The sequence below is a fragment of the Homo sapiens genome, chromosome 2 (assembly GCF_000001405.40).
Source record: "Homo sapiens chromosome 2, GRCh38.p14 Primary Assembly".
NCBI lineage: Eukaryota > Metazoa > Chordata > Mammalia > Primates > Hominidae > Homo > Homo sapiens.
Window position 1 is genome coordinate 148,541,351 of NC_000002.12, and position 22,345 is coordinate 148,563,695.

General features: G+C 46.1%; 3 annotated features.

The window, feature by feature from the left end:
* Positions 1,458-1,651: a silencer, noted in NCBI's record as "fragment chr2:149300377-149300570 (GRCh37/hg19 assembly coordinates)". NCBI's record gives its function as "represses an EF-1alpha promoter that drives an FKBP-Casp9 reporter gene in an ReSE screen in phorbol 12-myristate 13-acetate-treated (for megakaryocytic differentiation) K562 erythroleukemia cells {active_cell/tissue: K562(+PMA)}" and the evidence as "EXISTENCE:reporter gene assay evidence [ECO:0000049][PMID:32094911]".
* Positions 12,452-13,409: an enhancer, noted in NCBI's record as "NANOG-H3K27ac hESC enhancer chr2:149311371-149312328 (GRCh37/hg19 assembly coordinates)". NCBI's record gives its function as "activates a minimal SCP1, AML or CMV promoter by ChIP-STARR-seq in naive H9 embryonic stem cells {active_cell/tissue: H9 hESC(naive)}" and the evidence as "EXISTENCE:reporter gene assay evidence [ECO:0000049][PMID:30033119]".
* Positions 18,920-19,871: an enhancer, noted in NCBI's record as "H3K4me1 hESC enhancer chr2:149317839-149318790 (GRCh37/hg19 assembly coordinates)". NCBI's record gives its function as "activates a minimal SCP1, AML or CMV promoter by ChIP-STARR-seq in naive H9 embryonic stem cells {active_cell/tissue: H9 hESC(naive)}" and the evidence as "EXISTENCE:reporter gene assay evidence [ECO:0000049][PMID:30033119]".

Genomic DNA, 22,345 nt, shown 5'->3' on the forward strand with positions numbered 1-22,345 from the left:
CATGAGAGAGAGGAGAGTCCAGGACAACCCCTGCTCTCAGGTTTCCCCAGGTTATAAATTGCATCCTGAAATGCTCAACACCAGCTCTTACTGGAAACCAAAGGAGAGCTCTCTGCTTTATGAATGACCCCTAAATTTCAGCCTTGCTGCGGCTCAGTTCAATGATACCATCCGCTGGATTTCAAGTCCACTTAAGCATGAGACTTGGAGGAGGCGGAAGACCAGCAACTCCATCTCTAATATGGGGGACAAGCCAGAGCCCTTTGCAGGCTGCACGCCCTCCCCTGCCACGGGAACTCCTGGTCCGACAGCCAAGCCTTAGTATAGCCTCCTACTCCTGCTAATGCCCTTTCTCAGCATCTCATGATAATAAAAATAGATTTGCGTCATTTCTGTTATGAATATTCTGTCAGGGAAAGGGTGCCATAGGTATTTGTTATTGAACTAAACTGGGGTTCATTTACCCGCTGCAGCAAAGCCAAACACTGGTATCAGGATTGCAGCAAGAGAAAGTGAGGCATTTATTGCAGGGCGCCAAACAAGGAGAATTGGGCAGCTAACTCCCTGAACTCCCTGATGGCTTACAGGTAAGGGTTTTTAAAAGCGAAGAGGCAGAGGTTACAGGCAAAGTCATAAATCAGTGCATGGAGGTTATACACTGATTTGACCTAAAAAGGCTTGACATCTCAAAGAGGGTCAGAGGTGGATTCAAAGATTTTCTGATCTGCAAGTGGTTCAGGAGGCAAAGCTTTGTCTAAAAATTTGAGCTCAGCAGCCTGGGCAACAAAGCAAGACCCTGTCTACACACACACACACACACACATACATATATAAATTGGTGCAACGGCTCACACTCATAATCACAGCTCTCAGGAGGTTGAGGCAGGAGGATTGCTTGAACTCAGGAATTGGAGGCTGCAGTGAGCTATGATCACCACTGCCCTCCAGCCTGGACGATAGAGTGAGACTCTATCTAAGATAAAAAAATAAAATAATAAAATAAACTTGGGATCAGTAGGAAAGAGTGTTAGTTCTGGCCTAGGGTTGTGACCTCCTCCAGGGCCCTGAGGAAGAAATTGACAGTAGTCAGAGTTCAGTCCTCAGTTCCCCCTTATCTGAGGTCTTTGTGCCAGTGGATGCAAAGTCTGCAGGAGACTGGGTGTCTAAACAAAGTCTGCAGGAGACTGGGTGTCTAAACAACCACTCGGGGGCACGTGTTAAGATGCGTTCTTTAATTTCTAGAGGGAACCAAACATCCCATGATTCTAGCTCCTTGGCTGTTCTTTTAACCTACTATTTACCTTCTTGCTTATCAAGTTGCTTACTTACTTCTCAGGGCCAGCTAGGTGCCTAGAATTCCCCTTGAGGAAACCCAGGAGTTTCCTTTGTTTCCATGTTTTTTGGCGATGGCGAGGTGCCTGCTAGGCCTCTAAGAGGGTTCCCTCCTTTGTCTCATTCTCACAGCAATCCACAGCAGCAAAGGCCGGGCACAAGTTTCCTATCAGCCCCTTGGAAGGTGACACTTAATCTTGTGTCCGGAACTTCAAGTTAATGTCATTCAAAGCAGGATGGTGTGACATTAGGAAAAACTGTCTGGGTCGAAATGGTGCCAGGGTATGCCAATGTTTCCACCTTCTGAGAGACCCCTCGTACCACTGCCTGCCTCCTGCATTCCAAACAACACGGGTGACTGCAGGATCCGGGGTCCCCTCCCTTTTCTCTCAAAATAAGGAAACGGAGATCCAAAAAGGTTTAATAGCTCATTCCACCAGTTAGGGAGAATGCTCACTCAGCCTTGGGTTTGTTAGAAGAGTCTTGGTTACTTACAAAGATTTATCTCTTTGTTGTAAAAAACACAGTGGCTTGAAGGATATGAAAATTTATGACATAGGAGGCTGAGTTGGGCTTATCACTTGAGGTCAGGAGTTTGAGATCAGCCTGGCCAAAATGATAAAACCCATCTCTATGAAAAATACAAAAATTAGCCAGGCGTGGTGTTGGGAGCCTGTAGTCCCAGCTACTCGGGAGACTGAGACAGGAGAATCGCTTGAATCCGGGAGGTGGAGGTTGCAGTGAGCCGAGATTGTACCACTGCACTCTAGCCTGGGCAACAGAGTGAGACTCTGCCTCAAAAAAAAAAAAAAAGAAAGAAAGAAAAAAGGATGAAAATTTATCCTTGAGGGGAATTGAGCGATAAGGTGGCCTTCAGGGTTGTTTGATCTGTCAGCTCAACACTGCTGCCGAGGACTTGGGCTTCTCCCAGCTTTCTGCTCTGCTGCTTAGCACATTGGCTTCATCCTGAAGCTGGTTTTCTTCCAGGTTGCAGCATGGTTGCTGGTGGTACCTGAGGCCACCTCCTTTCTCCCTCCTGTCTAGCTGAGTAGGAGAGTAGGGAGAACAGTTCTCAGAGACCCACCAAACCTCTCCTTCTATGCCGCGTCCTTCTAGAACTAATCATCGGCAGGAAGGTTGGGCTCACTCTGATGGGCTGAGACTAATCAGGGCTGGAGGTGGGAATGGGTCACCTTCCCTTGAGACACAGGGCTGTGTGTGAGGAGATGACACCTGCATGAAATCAAGCGGTTATTTTAGGAAACAGCAAAGGAGCAAGAGATTCTGGGTGACCATCCCAGGGCCCAGTACAAGCTCTGACTGTGATGGACACTACAGGGCTACAGAAAAATATTGTTTTATTTACTTTTTAAACACTTTATCATGGAAATTTTCAAACATATAAAAAGTGGACAAAATAGCATAACAGATCATCCTGTACACATAATCCAGTCTCAATAATTATCAACTCAGAGCCTATTTTTTAAATCAATTTTCCTGCCCACGTTCCTCTCCAATGTATTAAAATCTCAGATATCAGCCAGGCACAGTGGCTCAGGCCTATAATCCCAGAACTTCGGGAGGCCAAGGCAGGCAGATTTCTTGAGCCCAGGAGTTCAAGCCCAGCCTGGGCAACATGGCAAAACCCCATGTCTACAAACAAACAAAAATTGGCTGGGCATGGTGACACACACCTGTAGTCCCAGCTACTTTGGAGGCTGAGGTGAGAGGTTTGCTGCTTGACTCTAGGAGGTCCAGGCTATAGTGAGCCAAGATCGTACCACTGCACTCCAGCCTGGGTGTCAGAGTAAGACTCTGTCTCAAAACAAAACAAACATCCCAGACATCATATCATTTCAGCATGTAACTTTATTTCATGCATGTAACTTTAAAAGACAAATTATTTCAGCATGTAACTTTAAAAGACAAAGACTCTTTTTAAGACAAAATCATAGCTCACCTAAAAAGTGATTAATCAAAACTAATTAAAAGTAATTTCTTAACATCTTCAAATTATGTAGTCAGTGTTCAAATTTCCAACTTTCTTATATGTGACAAAATTTCTTTCTGCAATGCATTCAAGGGTAAGTTCTTAGAGATCAGTCTTGTCCTTATCTTTCAAAATAAGGAAATAGAGATCCAAAAAGGTTTGATAGCTTACCCCAAGGCCATTAGATTTATTTTAATTGATCATTTTATCCTGCCTTTTTTCTTGATGTATTTGAGGCAGATCATCACGCAGTGGAAGACCCAAAAATTCATTCATTCATTTAGCAAATGTGGTTTGAGCATCAGCTCTGTGCTTAATTCGGCCAGTGTGGTCACAGCACTGGGATCTGTAATCAGAAGACGTAAGCTTCTACTCACAGGGCTTCTGCCTATGACATTAGGCAAGTCTCCCCTGTCCATCTGTCTTGGTGCCTGAAATCCCCATGAGAGTCACTCTTTTGAGTTAGGGAGTTGTGGGAGGCCCCCCTTATGAATGTACACACATATTACTTTACTGGATAGTTGTTCTTTCGGGATGCCGACATTGAACACTCGTCCTATTTTGGAGAAATCCTAGAATAGGTGGTGGGGATGGGGCAGTGGGGGAGAAAGGGCTCCTCCCTCACTACAGAAACAAATGGATGCATGGTCTTTTCCCATTCCAGGCAGCTAGAGAGGGACGCTGGGTCTGGGGCTTGCAATCAAGTGCCGCAGCCCGAATCATCAAGCTTGAAGGAGTGACACAAAGGCCTGGGGCCACTGAAGATGACCCACGGGTGCCTCTGCCAAGGCCAGTCCAGGGCAGTTGTGTTGAGTGTCCAGAGCCACCAGGGTGGCACCAAGATGATGGTCCCCCAGGAGCCACCTCTGCTCAGCCTGGCCTTGTCTGCTTCCACAGCAACGTGGTTCCTTCCCATCCGTCCATGCTGTGAGCTGCCTGTCCTTCCAGTAAGTGACATTTCTGCTTAAATTGCCTAGTCACTTCCTGCAGTTGGCAACCAACATCTCTGACTAAAGGAGTCCATTGAGAACAACAATCTAGTAACATGATAGGTGTTTTCCAACATTGTTCTGATTGGCTTATCAAGTTCAATAGTTGTCATCTATTAAGAAATAAAATAGAACCCAAGGCAAGGCACTTGACACTGCTGGGGACATGAGAGGTTCAGAGCTGTGGAGACCCATGGCCAGGACCTGGAAGTCTAGTGTGCTACCCTAGAATGCTGGGGGACCAGGCGTGTGGGGGAACCTTCACCTCCTTTCCAAATTTGCTGAGGGATGACCCTGAAGAACGGGCCAGTGTGGAACAAGGATTTATGCCAGTGCCCAGCACTGTGCCTGGAAGGAGGAGACACATGGTTCCCTAGAGCCCCAGACAGAGCAACCTGCTCTACCCACTCCAACCCATTCATTCTCTGCTGGACCCACAGCAGAGTCCCCTGGGGACAGAGATCGGTAGGATGATCTTGGGGATTATACTATAGATGGCTGCCGGGAATGGTGTTTCCTTCTGGATCCGAGGGAGCTTGGAGCTGTACCTGCTTTCCTTAGGGTGTATGAGTGGGCAGTATCTAGCCAGGGCCTGGGCTCAGCTCCCACAGGAAGCAGCTCCACACCCCCCAGGCAGTTCTACCAGTCCCCTTGCTGGGGTGTCTGTTAGCCTGGACTTGGGACCACAGCTCAGGGATATGGCTCCAAATGCCATAACCCTGGCTTCTCCCATGTGCTCATCCACTTCTAAGCCACATGAAGCAAGACCATCAGCTGGCTGAGCAGAACACCCACTGCCCTTCCAGCCTCAGGCAGGAAGTTGCTTAATGAACTCCTAAATAGTTACCCACAATAACCAGATTTCCTACACAGAGTCTGTGGTTTCCTGCCCTCCAGAAGGTGCTCCCAGCCCTCCTCCCCCATGTTCCTCACTGCCCATGAGTCTTCCTGGGCTCAGGTGCACCCCTCCTTCCCTCAACCTCCCATCTCCTCATTCTTGCGCTACTTCCTCACTCTTTGCTCTTATTTTCTTCCTAACCTGTGCCCTTATTGTTTGTCTGTTTTCTGAAAATATTTCCACTCTCAAGGGATTTTGTGGCTATCCCTGGATCTCCTTGCTGTTGCACTAATAGCTCAGAGGGCATACCCATCTTTAGCCCTAACCCCAATTTCTCCCAGATCCAGTGATGTTATAGTTGAATGACATCCCCTTAAAAAGATATGTTGACATCCTAATCCCTGGTACCTCAAAGTGTGGTGTTATTTGTAAACTTGCAGACATAGTTAAGAAGTTGTACTGGAGTACGGTGGGCCCCTGATCCAATGCTACTAGTGTCCTTCTAAGAAGACAGCCATGTGAGGACACAGGCAGCTGAATAAATGAATGACTGCCTACATGGAGGAGCTAAAACTCCTCCATGCTGGCAGGGGCAAGAGAGGGAGTGGCAGGACTGGAAACAGTGAATACAGTGGCCAAGTGACAGAGAATGAAAAAAAGCTAATTTTTCATTTGTCTAATGAATCCAAGTGAGAGCTATAGTGAACGCAAGGCCTCCCTGGGTTCTTTTCCATCTTGTGATCGCCATTTCTCTGCTGCTAGAGGACATCAAATCCTTCGCTCTCAACTTGGCACAACCAGGTGAGCCCACCCAGGTGGTTGCCATCCAGCACTCCGGCCTGGCGTCTCCAAGGTCGACCCTAGCCAGCACAACCAATGCATCTGATGGTTCCAGACCCGAACAAGGAGGCTGAACATGAGCCTTGGGAGGCGGAGGTGGGGCGGGGCGTGGGGTTCATGTGCTGCATGTTTGGAGGCTGAAGTGCTCTCCCTCACACTCTGGGCCTGAGTGCTGCACTCACAGTGAAGCTTTACCATTTATGAGGCTCCTGCTACTGCAAGGTATGGCCAAGACTCATCCGTAGACACACATTAGCAACTCTAAGGCAGAAATCAGTGCCATGGAACTGGGCAGTGGGCCACTGGAATTCAGAGAAAGAAGACGTCAGTACTGTGGAGGGCATGGTGGGTAGATGTCAAGAGACCCAGAAGTAGCCCTTGAAGGGAGAGTGGCCCTAGAATCCCCCTCTCTAGAATCCCCCTCCCTAGAAGCCACCTCCCTAGAAGCTCCCTCCCTAGAAGCCCCCTTTCTTCAAGGGCAGCTTCTTGAGTGGCAGGCATTTCATGGGAGGACAGCAAAGACATGGGTGTGGGGATAAGTTTAGAAGACAGTCAGCCCCTGGCTGTACATGAGCAAACAAATAGCTCCAGGACAGACAATGCCAAGGTGGATGGTATCTGGACCTTCCCACCCAGGAACAAATGTGTCCTTGATGCCAAGAGATGCAGAAGGGCTGCTTTCTGAGTTAAAGAGGGAAGCATTGGCCTTTTTTCTATTTGGATGAATAACATCCTGATCGTTTTGGTAACTTCAAATAAAATATAAAGGCAGAAATAATATAGCATCAGCCAAGTTATTATTAAAAAATAACAGAATGCAGTCATTGGCAGTGTTGGACCAGAAATACAATCCCCCTGAGGAGCTGACATTATCCATGGGCTGGTAGAGGGGCCTCTCACTTGCTCTCTGGCTGGTGTGTCTTTGCTTCTCCACTGGCATCTGCAGGCTGGGGGGCTATTCAGGTGGCTGACCCATAGGGACCCTACTGAGTGCTTGCCTATTGGGAAATGCGCAGTGAACATTTAATGAAGGGAGTGGGATGGGGGAAGAGAAGAGACAGCGTGTGAATTATCTTCTGACAGTGTTAATATGGAATCAATTTCTAAGAAGAGATGAGCATTTACCACCAAGGTTAACATGATGGAATATGTGGATACAAGCCTTCAAGACTTTTAAACCAACGGTGTTCATGGTAGGCAATTGCTTTTCTTTATAATGAGAATTGTAGGCAAATGATAACATGCTGTAGAAGTTATTAATTGATGTTTTAAAAGTTACCCCATGGCAGAAAATTAGAGAAAATGCGTTGCTGGCTTAAGCTTCTTCTCCTGAAGATCATCAGGATCTTGTCCAACGAAGTGCCTTCATTATGTCACATTTAACTCATCCATCTTCATTTTCAACTCAACTGGTTCAGCTGCTGTGTATCTCTGGGTCCCTTCAGCCTTCTCCCAGGACAAGCACCATTTAGATGCTCACTTGATCATTAGATGTTTAATGGCTGGGACGTTTGCCACTTCTTGGCAGTCTCAGGGCCCTCTTGTGTTAGGAAGTGGGCCAAATGCATCTAAATGGGGAGTGAGGTGAGATAGAGGGGCTTTTGTGCTAACTTCTGTCTGAAAGATGTGCGTAGACTGCTTAGTGTGGAATCTGTCACAGAGCAGCAATGGGAATGATTTTGGCCCATCTGTCCCCGTCAGTCCATCAGTGATCTTTTGCCCCAGGCAAGGAAGTCATGGGAGATAGGGCTCTTTGCCACCTTCAGGGCCCAATTCCCGCCAGCCTCTCAGTGTGAGCACTCCACATACTAATATGATTCTTGGGCTTAACAACAATACATTTTTTATACAATATGGCTCTTAGATGCAAGCCAACTACACATCCGGTGCTTGACCAAAGCGGTGATCTATCCTCACTCAGCCAGAAGAAAAAAGTGGACTCTGTGTCGGACATTTTGACAGATGGTGCCTTGGTCTCCAATGTGGCACACAAATACCAACCCTGTGGGCTGAATTCAGGTGTTTTTTTGTTGCTTGTTTTGTTTTGTTTTTTGAGAAGGAGTCTTGCTCTGTTGCCAGGCTGCAGTAAGGTGGCGCGATCTTGGCTTACTGCAACCTCCACCTCCTGGGTTCAAGCGATTCTCCTGCCTCAGCTTCCCAAGTAGCTGGGACTACAGGTGCGTGCCACCACGCCCAGCTAATTTTTGTATTTTTAGTAAAGACTGGTTTCACCATGTTGGCCAGGATGGTCTCAATCTCTTGACCTCGTGATCCGCCTGCCTTGGCCTCCAGAAATTTGGACCTCATGCAATTTTCATCTTAGGAGCAACCCCTAGTTCAGACATGATGGCCCTGAGGGCGACACTCTAATTAGTCCTAGGTTACTCAGGCTACCATCACTGAGTCAGCCCCTCACAGCCCTGTGCCCCCATGCTAGTGAACTGCAATTCTCCAAACGCACCTCTATTCTGCATTCCATCTGAAGTAACTGCAGGCCCGGGGAGGAGGGCATGACATGAGGAAGGGGTGATGGAGCAGACTTTACTGGGAAAAAGGCACTAAGTCTTGCCTTGCTCATCCTTGAGCCCTGGAAGAAGGCAGGCCTGGGTTTGCCTCTTTCCACTTGGAACAGGCTTAAAAATTCCAGCTGAGTGAGTCTTGGAGCGCAGGCCAGAGGCCTGAGGTAGGGACACTGACAGGGCTACCCTGCCTCAGCTGGAGGGGACCCCGGGGACTGTCCCTTATCTTTCCTCTGTGATGGGTCTCAGTTAAAGCCAGCAGTGGTAGGCAAATGAGTGCTAAGCCCAGCTTTCACCTTCTCATAGCAGCGGTCTTCAAACTTGGGTCAAGTACACCTGAGGGTGTACAGACCTTTCAGGAGGAAAAATATCCATGAGTGATTTAGAGGAAATCCACGTCCACAGTCTTAATATCCAAAGCACCGATTTCTAAAATCGTCTCATGGAACTTCCCATGCCCCGCTCACCCATCGTGATCGCAACATGAAGCCTTACTCTGGGGTGTAAAAACTTCCTTGGACCAAAAGAGGGGAGAAGCACTTTGGGAGGCCGAGGCGGGTGGATCATGAGGTCAGGAGATCGAGACCATCCTGGCTAACAAGGTGAAACCCCGTCTCTACTAAAAATACAAAAAATTAGCCGGGCGCGGTGGCGGGCGCCTGTAGTCCCAGCTACTCGGGAGGCTGAGGCAGGAGAATGGCGTGAACCCGGGAAGCGGAGCTTGCGGTGAGCCGAGATTGCGCCACTGCAGTCCGCAGTCCGGCCTGGGCGACAGAGCGAGACTCCGTCTCAAAAAAAAAAAAAAAAAAAGAGGGGAGATCGATCAATTGGTTTCTGGGGGCTTCTTTAATGATTCATCAAGGCATCTTCCATCCTCAGGGCGTGCCGTCTTTCCCTGTCTTATGTATATTTCTGTCAAGGGTGAAGCGTGGCCCACATTGAGGTGCTCTAAATTTAGAACAGCTAAGGCAGTATAGGTTAAAGAATTTTAAAATGATTTCTTTCAGATTCAGTCTGCATTATTCAGTAATTAAAACTTACTTTATCAAACCAGCTCATGAAATACTATTCCAATTATAGTTAGTCCTCATCTTATTTCATCTTATGAAATGTTTAATCTTTTATAACTCCTAACAAAAATAAACTTTTAAACTAAGGAGGAAGCATTTAGATGTCAAATTTAATTTCTGCAAAGAGATATACAGTTGTTTAAAACTGTTTTAGGGAGCGCATGTGCAAAAATGTTTGGAGACCATGACCCCAGGGATCTCATGCTCCCTGCCCCCGTATCCCACATGTGCAAGCTCCTCCCAGCCCCTCAGCTGCAAACATAAAGGATGTAGTCACTAGCCACAGATGGCAATTAACATTTAAATTAAGTTAAAAATTTAATTCCTTAATTGTACTAGCCACATTTCAAGTGCTAAGTAGGCATGTGAGGCTAGTGTCTGCTGTATTGGACAGGTCAGATGCACAATAGTTCCATTGTCACAGAAAGTTCTCTTGGACAGCCCTGGTCTAAACTATCCTGGGAACTGACATGGCCAGGAGAAGCTGTGACATCATCAAACACATTTGATCATTTAATATTTTTAGAAAGGCAGTTCAAGCCCATGATGAAAAATTCAAAAGATACAAAATGGTCTATAGGGCAAAGTCTCTTCCTGCTCTGGCCTTCGGTCACCTGGTTTCTCCCGGTACCAGCTTCTTGGGATTCCCTCCAAAGATATTCTACTTAAGCTCATGACAATACTGTACAGTATTTATGTTTCTGATATCGCCATGAAATTCTGTATTTTCTATATACAACAATGAAAATTATTGGCTGTGCGCAGTGGCTCACACCTGTAATCCCAATACTTTGGGAAGCCTAGGCGAGCAGATCACTTGAGGCCAGGAGTTTCAGACCACCCTGGGTAACATGGTGAAACCCCATCTCTACTAAAAATACACACACACACACAAAAATTAGCTGGGTGTGGTTGCGCATACCTGTAATTCCAGCAACCAGAGAGGCTGTGGCACAAGAATCGCCTGATCCCAGGAGGCGGAGGTTGCAGTGAACTGAGATCATGCCACTGCACACCAGCCTGGGCAAGAGAGTGAGACATTGTGTCAAAAAAGAAAAAAAAAGGAAAATTCTTTGAAAAAGTTTGGACTATTTTTCAACACAATTTTAGTATTATCTCACATAAGTTGTCTCTGTGGCAGCTTTAAAACATGGCCATAAATCTTCCTGAACATTCCTTCCATAGAGAGGATAGCTTTGTGCTTTTTTCCCCATGATCTGGGTGAGGTTTTGACTGCTTCCATCATTGCAACAGGGGAGAAGCAACCCTATGTGACTTCCAGGTAAGGTCATAAAAGGCCGTGAGACCTCCACCCTGTCTCAGGAATACTCACTCTTGGAGTCCTGAACTGCGGCGTGAGAAGTCCCACTCCCCTAGCCTGACCACACTGGAGAGGCCACACACATGCACAGGTGACACTCCCAGCAGAGCTGTTCATTGGCGGTAGCTGGATTTGGGGGTGAAGAAGCAGTCTTGAATGGTTACCTGTGACTCAAGAGAGGACTTTTGCAATTTGATTGGAAAGCTTAGCAAAAACTTAGTAATTAATATTTGGAAGACTAAGCAATGAAAAAATGAGGTAATTAGTAATTCCAAGAAAACCAAAGTTGACCCATAAAAGAATAACAGCCTATATGGTTCAGCTGTGAGTACTTATAGTAATGCTAGCACAGTACATTGATTTAGCCAAAAATGGTGCTGTAACGATGTTGGGAGGGTGGGTGGAGGGGAAATATGCACAAGGAGGGTGCAGGAAGGCAATAAGTGTCTAAAATTGAAGAACCTAAAAATAGCTGTATTATTTGGAAGTACAGATATAAATTACAGAAGAAACAGATGGGCGATACTGAAGCAGGTGTGTGTGCCAATGGGAACGATACAGTAGCAAGGGAGACGCTGATGGGAGGGACTGAATGGATGATAGGAGGCCACTTGGACACAGCTGAGCAGACAGGGAAGGGGCAGAGGAGGCCAGCAAGTGTGGCTGTGCTTGTAGGTTTCTAGGTGGGGAAATGTGAGCATTTCCATCGGACAGCATCTCTTTCCTCAGTGAAACGAGGAGAGTTCATCAGCTGAGACTAAAAAGCAGGGAAGGGCAGTGGGAGTTTTAAGGATAAAAAAGGAATGAAAAAGTACCCTAGAAGAATACGAATGCTGGTTTTAACAGAGAAACACAGCAATATTGCTTAGTAGCTCCAAGTACCCCTTTGAGGTCTGCGATGAACTGAAAGTGAAAGCAGCCTGCTTGCTTGACTTTTCCATAGTAATGTCGAGCTGCTTGAGTGGAGAGATACATGGGTGGGCTCACTTAGTATTTTGTAGGAGACTCCGTGGAAAGGCAAGGGGATTCTGAGGATGAGAGTTTTGGAAGGAAGTTGTTTATGGTGATGAACCATAAGCCCTAAGCTGGACACGAGGAGTGAACAGAAAGGTGACTGACAAATTGTAAAAGGCGGTGGAGCCAACAGAAAAGAGATCTCAACAGAGTTGAAGAATTGTCACAGTAGACGCTCAAGTATGTGTCAAGGACAGAAAGCTTATGAGAGAGTGGGGCTTTGGGCTTGCAGCAGCAGAACAGTTTCTGGTGGTGACAAGGTTCAGGCTATGACCTTGAGGTGGAGTGGAGGGAGAAAACGTCATTCGAGATGAGAAGGTCCAGGAAACTGAGAAGCCAGGCTGCTAGATGGGACATTGTATGGTTACTTTAATGAGATTGTCAAGAAAGGCTATGCAGAGAAAAAGATGGGGAGCCAGGAGGTGCAGTCCAGTGAATGAGTGAATGGATCACATGGAAGAAAAGAAAAGACATGTGATCGCGTGGTATAGTCAGGAAGCCAGAGCTTTTAATGGGTAGGACATTTTGTAAAAGGTAACAGAGGTTAAGTTCCAGGAGCAACAGTAGAGAACAAGCAGGCACCAACACTCCTTCCAGGCCCTAAGGTTTGTAAGATATCAGACTGTAAGATATCAGACAGGCTCTGCCAGAAACAGCTGTGTGAATGTTGTACTCTTGGGACCAGCCAGGCTCCAATTAAGGCAAGGAAGAAAGAGGGAGGCTCTGATGTAGGCTGAGGACAGGCAAAATTGAGAGTCAAGGATTGGGGCTTCCAGAAGGCACAGTGGAAATGTTAGGGAGGAAATGAAGAGAATGGGTGGGAAACTGGATCAAATCAGGTGACGAGCACAGCAGGAAGGGGATGCAAGTCCAGGTGATAGTGGATGACTGGAGAGGTCTGCTCCTCTGGGGATAGCAGAGGAAAATGAACATCAGCTCTTGCCACTCCCCTGCTTAGAATCTTCTGATGGCTTCCATCACACTTCGAGTATAACTGAACTCCTTACAAGGACCCACAACGCTCTCCATCAGTGGTTCTCCAAGTGTGGTCCTTGGACTTGCAGCATCACCATCACCTGGACCTTGTCAGAAATGCAAATTCTTGGGCCCCACCCCAGAGCTACTGCGTTAGAAACTCTGGGGTAGGACCCAACAAGCTATGTTTTAACAAGCCCTCCTCCAAGTGATTCTGATGCATACTAAATCTGAGACTCTTTGGTGCACATAATCTGGCCCTTCTCTAGCTCTCTGACCTCAGAATTTCTTAATTTGCTGAGCGTTAGCCACACTCGTCTCCTTTCTCTCTGTTCTCAAGCTCATACTCTCCCTGGGGCCTTTGCTGTCACTGTGTCATCTGCTTGGAATGTTCCTGCCCCAGGCTACCATGTGGCTGCTCTTTCTCCCCAGGCAGGTCTCTATTCAGACTGATACCGCCTGACCATTTCATCTCACCCTTGACTCCCATTCATTTTCTAATCCATTACCCTCTTACTTCTTCAGGCACTTGCCACTTCCTGAAATCTTTACTTTTAAATGCGTTTATGTCTGTCTTCCCCACTAGAATGTAAGCTGTATGAGAATCGAGACCTTACCTGCCTTTTTAACCACTGTGACCCCAATATCTAGAACAGCAGGGTGTCTAGTGGGGTATCTGATAATTGTTAATAAATGAATGAGACATGATGGAATGAATGTTGATATTTCTTAGGCTTTGTGCATATAAATGGCTTGAGGCTCTGTTCAAATGCAGATTCTGCTTTGGGAGGTCCGGGGTGGGCCCTCAGATCTTGCATTTCTAACAAGTTCTCAGTGGTACCTGGCTTCTGGCTCACAGAGTTCACTCTGGCTAAGTTTTACAGTGAGCCCTTGGATCTGTCTCTTGTGGTCTCAAATACTTGATAGTTTGGTGGTTTCCAGACAATATCCTGAACATGCAGTTACATCTGTGATGATTCTATTTGAAACACCTTCCAGCCAGGAACAATAGCAGTTTTCCTAAACCAGCTCTCCTTGGGGAGATATGATGTTTGGGCTGTTTCCAGAGTACAGGGTAAGGAAAAGGAGCTTACTAAGGAGGCTACTGCTTTAAAGGAGGCCAAGTTTTGCTGAGAACAACTCAGCAGAAACCAACTTCCAAGTTTCCAGATTAATAAAGAAAAGAGAGCCTAGATAATTACAATCTGTGGCTAATCTGCTAACTCTAAAGTAAGGAATAGCTAAAATCTGTTTCCATCCAAATTGTTTTCTAGGAAAGCCAACAAGAAACAGCTGAGTGTCCAAAACACATTTTTGTCTCTTCTTCTCTTCCCTGCCCAGACACCATGGGTTGGCAATTAGTTAGATATCAAAACAAGAAAATATTGGGGGCTATATCATCTTAAAACTTGGTTAAAAAATACTCTAATTGAAAACTATGACCATCAGATATGCCTTTCTCATAATGTATTCTTAACGGGTGATAACATGCACTAAAGAGCTCTTTGACAAAAAATATTTTGGAAATCGCTGGCCTAAATGTACACCAGTCAGAGCTCCTGACTGCAGGACTTCTCAGAGCCATGAATTTGCTAACCTACTTATGACTCTCTGAGGACTTTCAGTACACAACATTTCCCAAACTTATTGGACTGCAGAATTTTCTAAGAGTATCATGAAGAACCAGTGTTTCATGGAGCAAACCTTTAGAAGCTTGTGGAATGAGGTTGGCCTCCACTGAGGCTTTGCTTAAAAGAAGAAGGCCAAGGAGAGATGGGAAATAAGACCAAGGAAAGAGGTAAAAGTATGTGGCTCGTCTCCAGGCCCCTCACTCAGCCTTTTGCCTGCCAGGGATTTCGCAACTTCAATATCTCACCTGTCCCAGCCTTTCCAAACGATGTTCTCTTAATCCCTCTCTTCTTCATTCCCCCATATTCCTGTCTCTCGGAGCCCTGATGAAGAACTAAAGGAATCAACCATTGTTGTGAGTTAATTTGATACCCCTGCCAAAGGTGTTAGTATTTTAAAGAGGATTTATGGAGAGGACCTATCTGACCCAAAAGGAATGGTTCTGCATGGGACTCTCTGGCTGGTGGGAGTGGGTTTTGTTTCAAGAATGTGCCTACACTTACTGAGGGACGTCTTCTTCCTGATCCTGGAATTAAGGGGCAGGAGTCTTGGCTGATAAAGAAATGGCTCTTATCTCGATCTGTTTTATTCTGTGGAGTTTGATGGGAAGACCTGGGATACTATTGCTGCCCTGCAAGCCTTCAACCAGTTCTCTTTCAATAGGGTGTCTGGGAAATACCAGCTACAGTTCCAAGTAATATTTTACAAGTAGAACATAGTTTTCAGCATTTTGGGGTAATGATCAATTTTTTCCACCACACTTTGTTTATGTGATATTTCTGAATCAAATTCCTATTTTTCTTCCTCTAAACTGTACTCACTTTGACCTTGTAACTGTATTTCTCACCAAGTATATAATCAACAGCAGTACAGAAAGTGAAGATACAAGTGTAGATGAATACTAGATGAACTGTTTCGCATTTATTTCCCACAACTTGGATGAAATATAACCTGGAAATTTTTTTGGCTTGGGGTTTTTGGTTTGCTGCAGCACAATCATAGCTCATGGCAGCCTCAAACTACTTGACTGAAGCGATCCTCCTATCTCAGCATCCTGAGTAGCTGGGACTACAGTCATGTGACACCACTCCTGGCTAATCTTTCTTTTTTTTTTTTTTGGTAGAGGTAGGGTCTCACTATGTTGGCCAGGCTGATCTCAAATTCCTAGCCTCAAGTGGTCCTCCCATCTCAGCATCCCAAAGTGCTGGGATTACAAGCGTAAACCACTGTGCCCAGCCGGTTTTAAAAACAATATATAAGCACTTCAAGGAAAATGACCAAGATCTTATTCCCATTTCATTCCCCAGTGCTGAGTGCCTGGCATGTAACAGCTCTCATGGTTGTTTGCTGATGTGAATATCCTAGTTGTGTTACACAGAATTGTTTTTGTTTCACCTTATTTCTATTGTTACCTTATTGCTATTATTTCAGACCCTCTCCCCGTTTAACATGGTGGTTGACTATAAATCTTTACACATTTTGTTTTGCTACTATTTTCAGCCAAGCGTGAACACATATATATCAAGAAAGGTTTTTTCATCAAGATTTTTCAAGTTTTGAAATTATTTTTAAGTTGCTAGGATATTTAAAACAATTTGACCATCTTTGCCTTAAGGCAATGTAGAACCAATCTAAATCTCCATCATTTACTAGGCTTCTAGCCACTGATAACACTCCAACTCAAATGGAAATAAGGGGTATAGAAATGTATTATCTCACGTGACTGGAAGGCTGGGATAGGACCAGCTTCAGGGCTGGTGGAATCACTGGCTCACCAATGGGCTCAAATTGCAGCAGCTGCAGGCATCATACCTGGACATGCCATGTCCAGGGGAAGAAGAGGAAAAGAAGGGCCATCTCTTCCTGTGGCTCTCTCACGGAAGATGGAATTGTCCTAGAAACTCTCTAGATTTCCCTCTGATTTGGCCACATTTTGGACATGTCCATTCTTGGACCACTTGCAAGGGGAACAGGATTACCACAATTGCTTGGAAAAACCAGGAATGACCCCTGGATATGAGGTGGGGTCAGCTTGCCCTGGGGCACAGGCTACCTATGGGTGAGGCAGACACCCATGTCAGACAGGCTTCTGCAGGAAACAGGTGGCTCACGAAAACCGAGTAATGTGAGAAGAGGTTAACAGTGAGACTACAAAAGTATGAGCGGTCTAAGGAAAGCAAAACAAAACAAAACAAAAAAACCACTGCACCTGCAAGGCCAGTAATAACAGGGCATACTGTTACCATCTTACCATCTATATTGGTTTCCTGTGGCCACTATAACAAAATAACACAAATTAGGTGGCTTAAAACAACAGAAATTTATTCTTTCACAGTTCTGGAGGCCAGAAGTCCCCAGAGGCCCCAGTCACACTCCCCCTGGAGGCCTGAGGAGAGAATCACTCTTTGCCTCCCCAGCCTCATGCGGCTGTGGGCACTCCTTGGCTTGTGGCTGCATCGCTCCAATCTCTGCCTCCTCACATTGTCTCCTTCTTTGCTGTATGTCAAATCTCCCTCTGCTTCTCTTTTATAAGGACACTTATTGGATTTAGAGCCCACCCAGATGATCCAGAATAATCTCTTCATCTCAAAATCCTTAATTTAATTACATTGACAGAGACCTTTTTCTGAAAAAGGTCACATTCACAGGTTCTAGGGGTTAGGGTGTTGACATGATTGGGGGGTGAACCACCACTCAGCCCATTACACCACCCCAAGGCTGGCAAAGGAAGGCGAGGGTACCAGAGACAAAGACAACTGTGTGAAGAGAAGCATCCGAGGGAGACGTGGCCTTTTGAAGAGGGTCGCAGCTGGCCTGCTGGGAGGAAGCCCGAGGAATCAACACCCAGCATCACGTTCCCAACTCCCTTTGATCTCCTGCTGGTGTTCCCTACTAGCCAAACCCAGCCAAGGCTTTTGATGTTGTCCATAAAGGTCAGCCTCCCTCCAGGACATAAAGTGGGAAAGAGGGAAGTGGAGAGTGGGTCTGGAGGGGTGCATGGAAGTTGCAGAGCACAGCAAAGGAGAGAATTGAAGGAAGGAAGAAGGGGGAATGGATGCTGGCAGGCCAGTAACAGAGCCCACCCAACCCCTTCTCATTTACCGACAGCTCCCTGACTCTTTGGCCTTTAAATGGAAGTACCAGTTTAAATAGAGCTAATGCTACCATTTAAATAAACAATTATTGTCCTCTGTTTACAAAAGCAAAGCATGTTGATTACAGAAAGTTTGGAACACAGAGAAAAACATGAAGAAAACAAATGTTACCCACAATGCTGCTACACAGAGATAACCAGTGCTGATAACTAGTACCTTCCCAGGCCAGCGGTGGAAGTGGATGTATTCAGCAAAATAACTGGACTCCGTATCTGTACCTGCTGTTTCTAGTGTTGGTAATGCTAGCTTTTTTTTTTTTCAGTTACAAATATATAATGAAGGCTGGGTGCGGTGACTCATGCCTGTAATCCCAGCACTTTGGGAGGCTGAGGCAGGTGGATTGCTTGAGCCCAGGAGTCCAAGACCAGCCTGGGCAACATGGCAAAACCCCATTTCCAGCAAAAATACCAAAAATTAGCTGGGCATGCTGGTGCATACCTGTGGTCCTAGCTACTCAGGAGGCTGAAGTGGGAGGATCACTTGAGCCTGGAAGGTGGAGGTTGCAGTTAGCCAAGATCGTGCCACTGCACTCCAACTTGGGTGACAGATTGAGACCCCATCTCAAAAAAAAAAAGAAACAAATATATAATAATTTCCCCATATAAATATTCTTAAAGAATAGCATGATTTTTAATGACTACATAGTATTCTATTACATGGCTATACTATGCTTGTCTGGGGCTTCAGGTTTGAAGTCACCTGGGCCCCACCATACCCCTGATCCCTGGAGAGGTCAAGCTGTCAGTCTTTCCATAGGCCCTGTTGGATGCCTGGCCGAGCAGCTTGAAATCCAGTCCAGCCCATCAGGGTTGGCTTCCTCTCCAAAATAGCCAGGAGCAGATACCTGGGCTTGGGCTGGTCTAACCCATCAGCTTTGAGCTTCCTTTTCTTCCTTTCTCGAGCCTGCCCTCCTCCCCCTGAAGTGCTTCTCCAGGGATTCTGGTGCATCTCACTGCCTTCTGACTGAAGAGCACCCTACCTGTGGCATCCCTTAACTGAGTGTATCACGATGAACTTGGGGCCTCCCCATTTATCACCACACCTCTACCCACCATCACTACCTCCTCTGTCCCTGCCTTGCTAGCTTGTACCTTGCAGAAGCTTCCAAATGTGCATCCTATATTAAGATGTTCTTAGCTTAACGTTATCCTCTCCCTGGGTTTTTGCAGCTGTAAGGAACTATTTCTTCGTATACCAGAAGAATAAGTCTCAGGAGTTTGGAGGAGAAACAAAACACCTATGTTCTTCTGTTCTGGTGAAGTCCTAGACTCTGTGTACTGAGACCTATCCCAAAGATCATTCCTTAAACTCAGGGGCAGATCTCTTGCTTGAGACCGGCCAAGGGATGGGAGTGACTTTTCAGGTCTCTCCACAGGCAGCCTCAGCCTTTTTCTTCCACTCTTTGTGGAGATGCCCAGGACTGTAGTGCAGCCCTGACTGGCACCAACAGCACTGGCTGTGTTCCCAAAACTGTCCCCAGCCACCTAATACATGGTGCAAGTTTCAGAGCCTTTTCTTCCCAGAAAATCTGTGCTAACTCAGGATCCTGAACAGCTGGGAGTGATTAAGCAGGAATCGAAGGGGCAGCATCTCGGGGAGGCAGGGCTTCAAGCTGGCCCTTGGCCTCCAGGAGTTGATGAATCTGTCTCCAGGCTGAGATAAGGGCCCCAGCTGGATGTTAACATATGCTCTGAGCAATGCTGGGCAGGGGAGAGGCAGCCCAGCCTCTAGGACCAGGGCGGCTGTGGGTGGCCCTGAAGGGACTGAGCAACTGGCCCTGACGTTCCCCTTCATGCCTTGGACACTTGTCCTTCTACTGGAATCTAGTCCGTTGCCTTGACTTAGAAACCTCACCAGACCTCTCAGGAGGTCAAGAGAAAGCGGGCCCCAGGACAGGCTCCTAGCAAAATCAGGGCTGGTCAAGAGGTCTCAGAGCTCGTGCTTCAGGCCACCAGCCAAGCTGCAAAGCCTTTTTCCCAGGGCATCTGTGAGAATTCAGGAGACAGGTAAGCCTTCGTAGGCCTGTTTGTGTTCCTAAGGAAACAAGATAATTTCTTGACTCAATTGTAGTTCCCTCACAGCCTGATTGGATAGCTATTATATTAATAGTTCCAACCTCTCTCTCTGGAATAGCCCCGCTGGAGCCCTCTTCCTGCAGAACCCCTCTACAGCTGCCTCCAATTCCTTCCTCCCTAAGGCTGCCCCAGGCCGGCATCTCTCCAGCAAACCCGCCCCGTAGCCTGCTCCCTCCCAGGCACGAGGCTACTGTATGGGAGGTTCTTTTCACAGCGCCTGGCTTGAGTAAAGATGGTCGAAGGTTCTTTTTCCCCCAGCTAGGGCTCCTTGAAGCCCCTTAAACTGTGGAAGGACTTCCAACGGCGGAGGGCATCTCCTCCTCTGTGTTCCTCAGAGGGAAAACCTGGGAGCGCCAAGAATGTGCTGGGACAGACCAGACTTCCTGCCTCAGGTGCCCTCTGACCTCCGGTAATTACAGCTTCGGAAGTGGTCGGCTCCCCATGTAGACATTGGAGATAATGAGCTCCGACTTCCTGGGGCTGCTGGAGGTTTAATTGGTTCATGGTGGCTAAGCGGTTGGCGATCCTGGCCTGGAATTCCGGCGGACGCTGCTCCATCCACAAGGTAAGGGGCAGCCCGAAGTGGGGACCTGGCTGGCTGCCAGCCTCAGCCGCAAGTTGCCTCTTCCCCCACTTCCTCAAGCTGTTCCTAAGTGTCCTGCTACTAGAACCTCTGTCTGGCATGGGTGGTCTATTCCCAGCCTCCTCGTATTGCCCCTTTCCTCACCTGGAATGTCCACTCCATATGTCCTTGTCTGTTGAATTTGAATCATGCCCTGCAGAAATCCCACAGTGCCAGAAGTCCTCACCGTTTATACCAGCCCTACTTGATTTCTCTTCTGTGAAGTCCTATGGACAGGCACTTCTCAAACTCTCATGTGTGGGGGAATCTTACTGAAAGGCAGATCCTGATTCAGAAAGTCTGGGCAGGGGCCTGGGATTCTGCATTTTTGCCAAGCCCTCCATGCTGCCTTTGCTGCTGGTTTGCATGAACACTTAAAGGGGCGGGTCATGGATCTTCCCGTCCCAGTGCCCAGGCCTATTTGTTTGTAGCACAGGCCTTTTCATTTCCCCCAAATGAAAATCAGTATTTCATTCAAATTTATAAGTTTAAGCTTAACATTTATTTGTAAAATCAATTAGACTGTTCAATAGATACAAAAATATGAAATTGAGTGCTATAGATGACAGTAGTCTTTTATCAGCTTCAGCTTCCAAATTTATTTCTGCATTTTATCTCTTAAACCTGGTATGCACAAATAGTTGGAAATACATATATTTTTTAATAACAGCTCATCTAGAAATTTGAGGAGATTCTTCAGAGTAGGTAATCTTGTTAGAAACTGTTCTCCTTTACAATTGCTGTGCCAGCAAGATTTAGTCCAAGTTCTCCACAAAACCATTTAATCTGACAGCAGCATTTAATCCTTTGGTGAGTACAATGTGTTAAAATTTAGTATGTAATCTACGCAAATCAATAAACATAATCCATCATATAAATAGAATCAAAGATAAAAACCACATGATTACCTCAATAGATGCAGAAAAGGCCTTCGACAAAATTCAGCAGCCCTTCATGCTAAAAACTCTCAATAAACTAGGTATTGATGGGATGTATCTTAAAATAATAAGAGCTATTTATGACAAACCTACAGCCAATATCATACTGAATGGGCAAAAACTGGAAGCATTCCCTTTGAAAACTGGCACAAGACAGGGATGCCCTCTCTCACCACTCCTATTCAACATAGTGTTGGAAGTTCTGGCCAGGGCAATCAGGCAGGAGAAAGAAATAAAGGGTATTCAATTAGGAAAAGAGGAAGTCAAATTGTCCCTGTTTGCAGATGACATGATTGTATATCTAGAAAACCCCATTGTCTCAGCCCAAAATCTCCTTAAGCTGATAAGCAAATTCAGCAAAGTCTCAGGATACAAAATCCATGTGCTAAAATCACAAGCATTCTTATACACCAATAACAGACAAACAGAGAGCCAAATCATGAGGGAACTCCCATTCACAATTGCTTCAAAGAGAATAAAATACCTAGGAATCCAACTTACAAGGGATGTGAAGGACCTCTTCAAGGAGAACTACAAACCACTGCTCAACGAAATAAAAGAGGACACAAACAAATGGAAGAACATTCCATGCTCATGGATAGGAAGAATCAATATCATGAAAATGGCCATACTGCCCAAGGTAATTTATAGATTTAATGCCATCCCCATCAAGCTACGACTTTCTTCACAGAATTGGAAAAAACTACTTGAAAGTTCATATGGAACCAAAAAAGAGCCCACATTGCCAAGACAATCCTAAGCCAAAAGAACAAAGCTGGAGGCATCACACTACCTGACTTCAAACTATACTGCAAGTCTACAGTAACCAAAACAGCATGGTACTGGTACCAAAACAGAGATATAGACCAATGGAACAGAACAGAGCCCTCAGAAGTAATACCACACATCTACAACCATCTGATCTTTGACAAACCTGACAAAAGCAATGGGGAAAGGATTCCCTATTTAATAAATGGTGCTGGGAAACTGGCTAGCTGTATGTGGAAAGCAGAAACTGAATCCCTTCCTTACACCTTA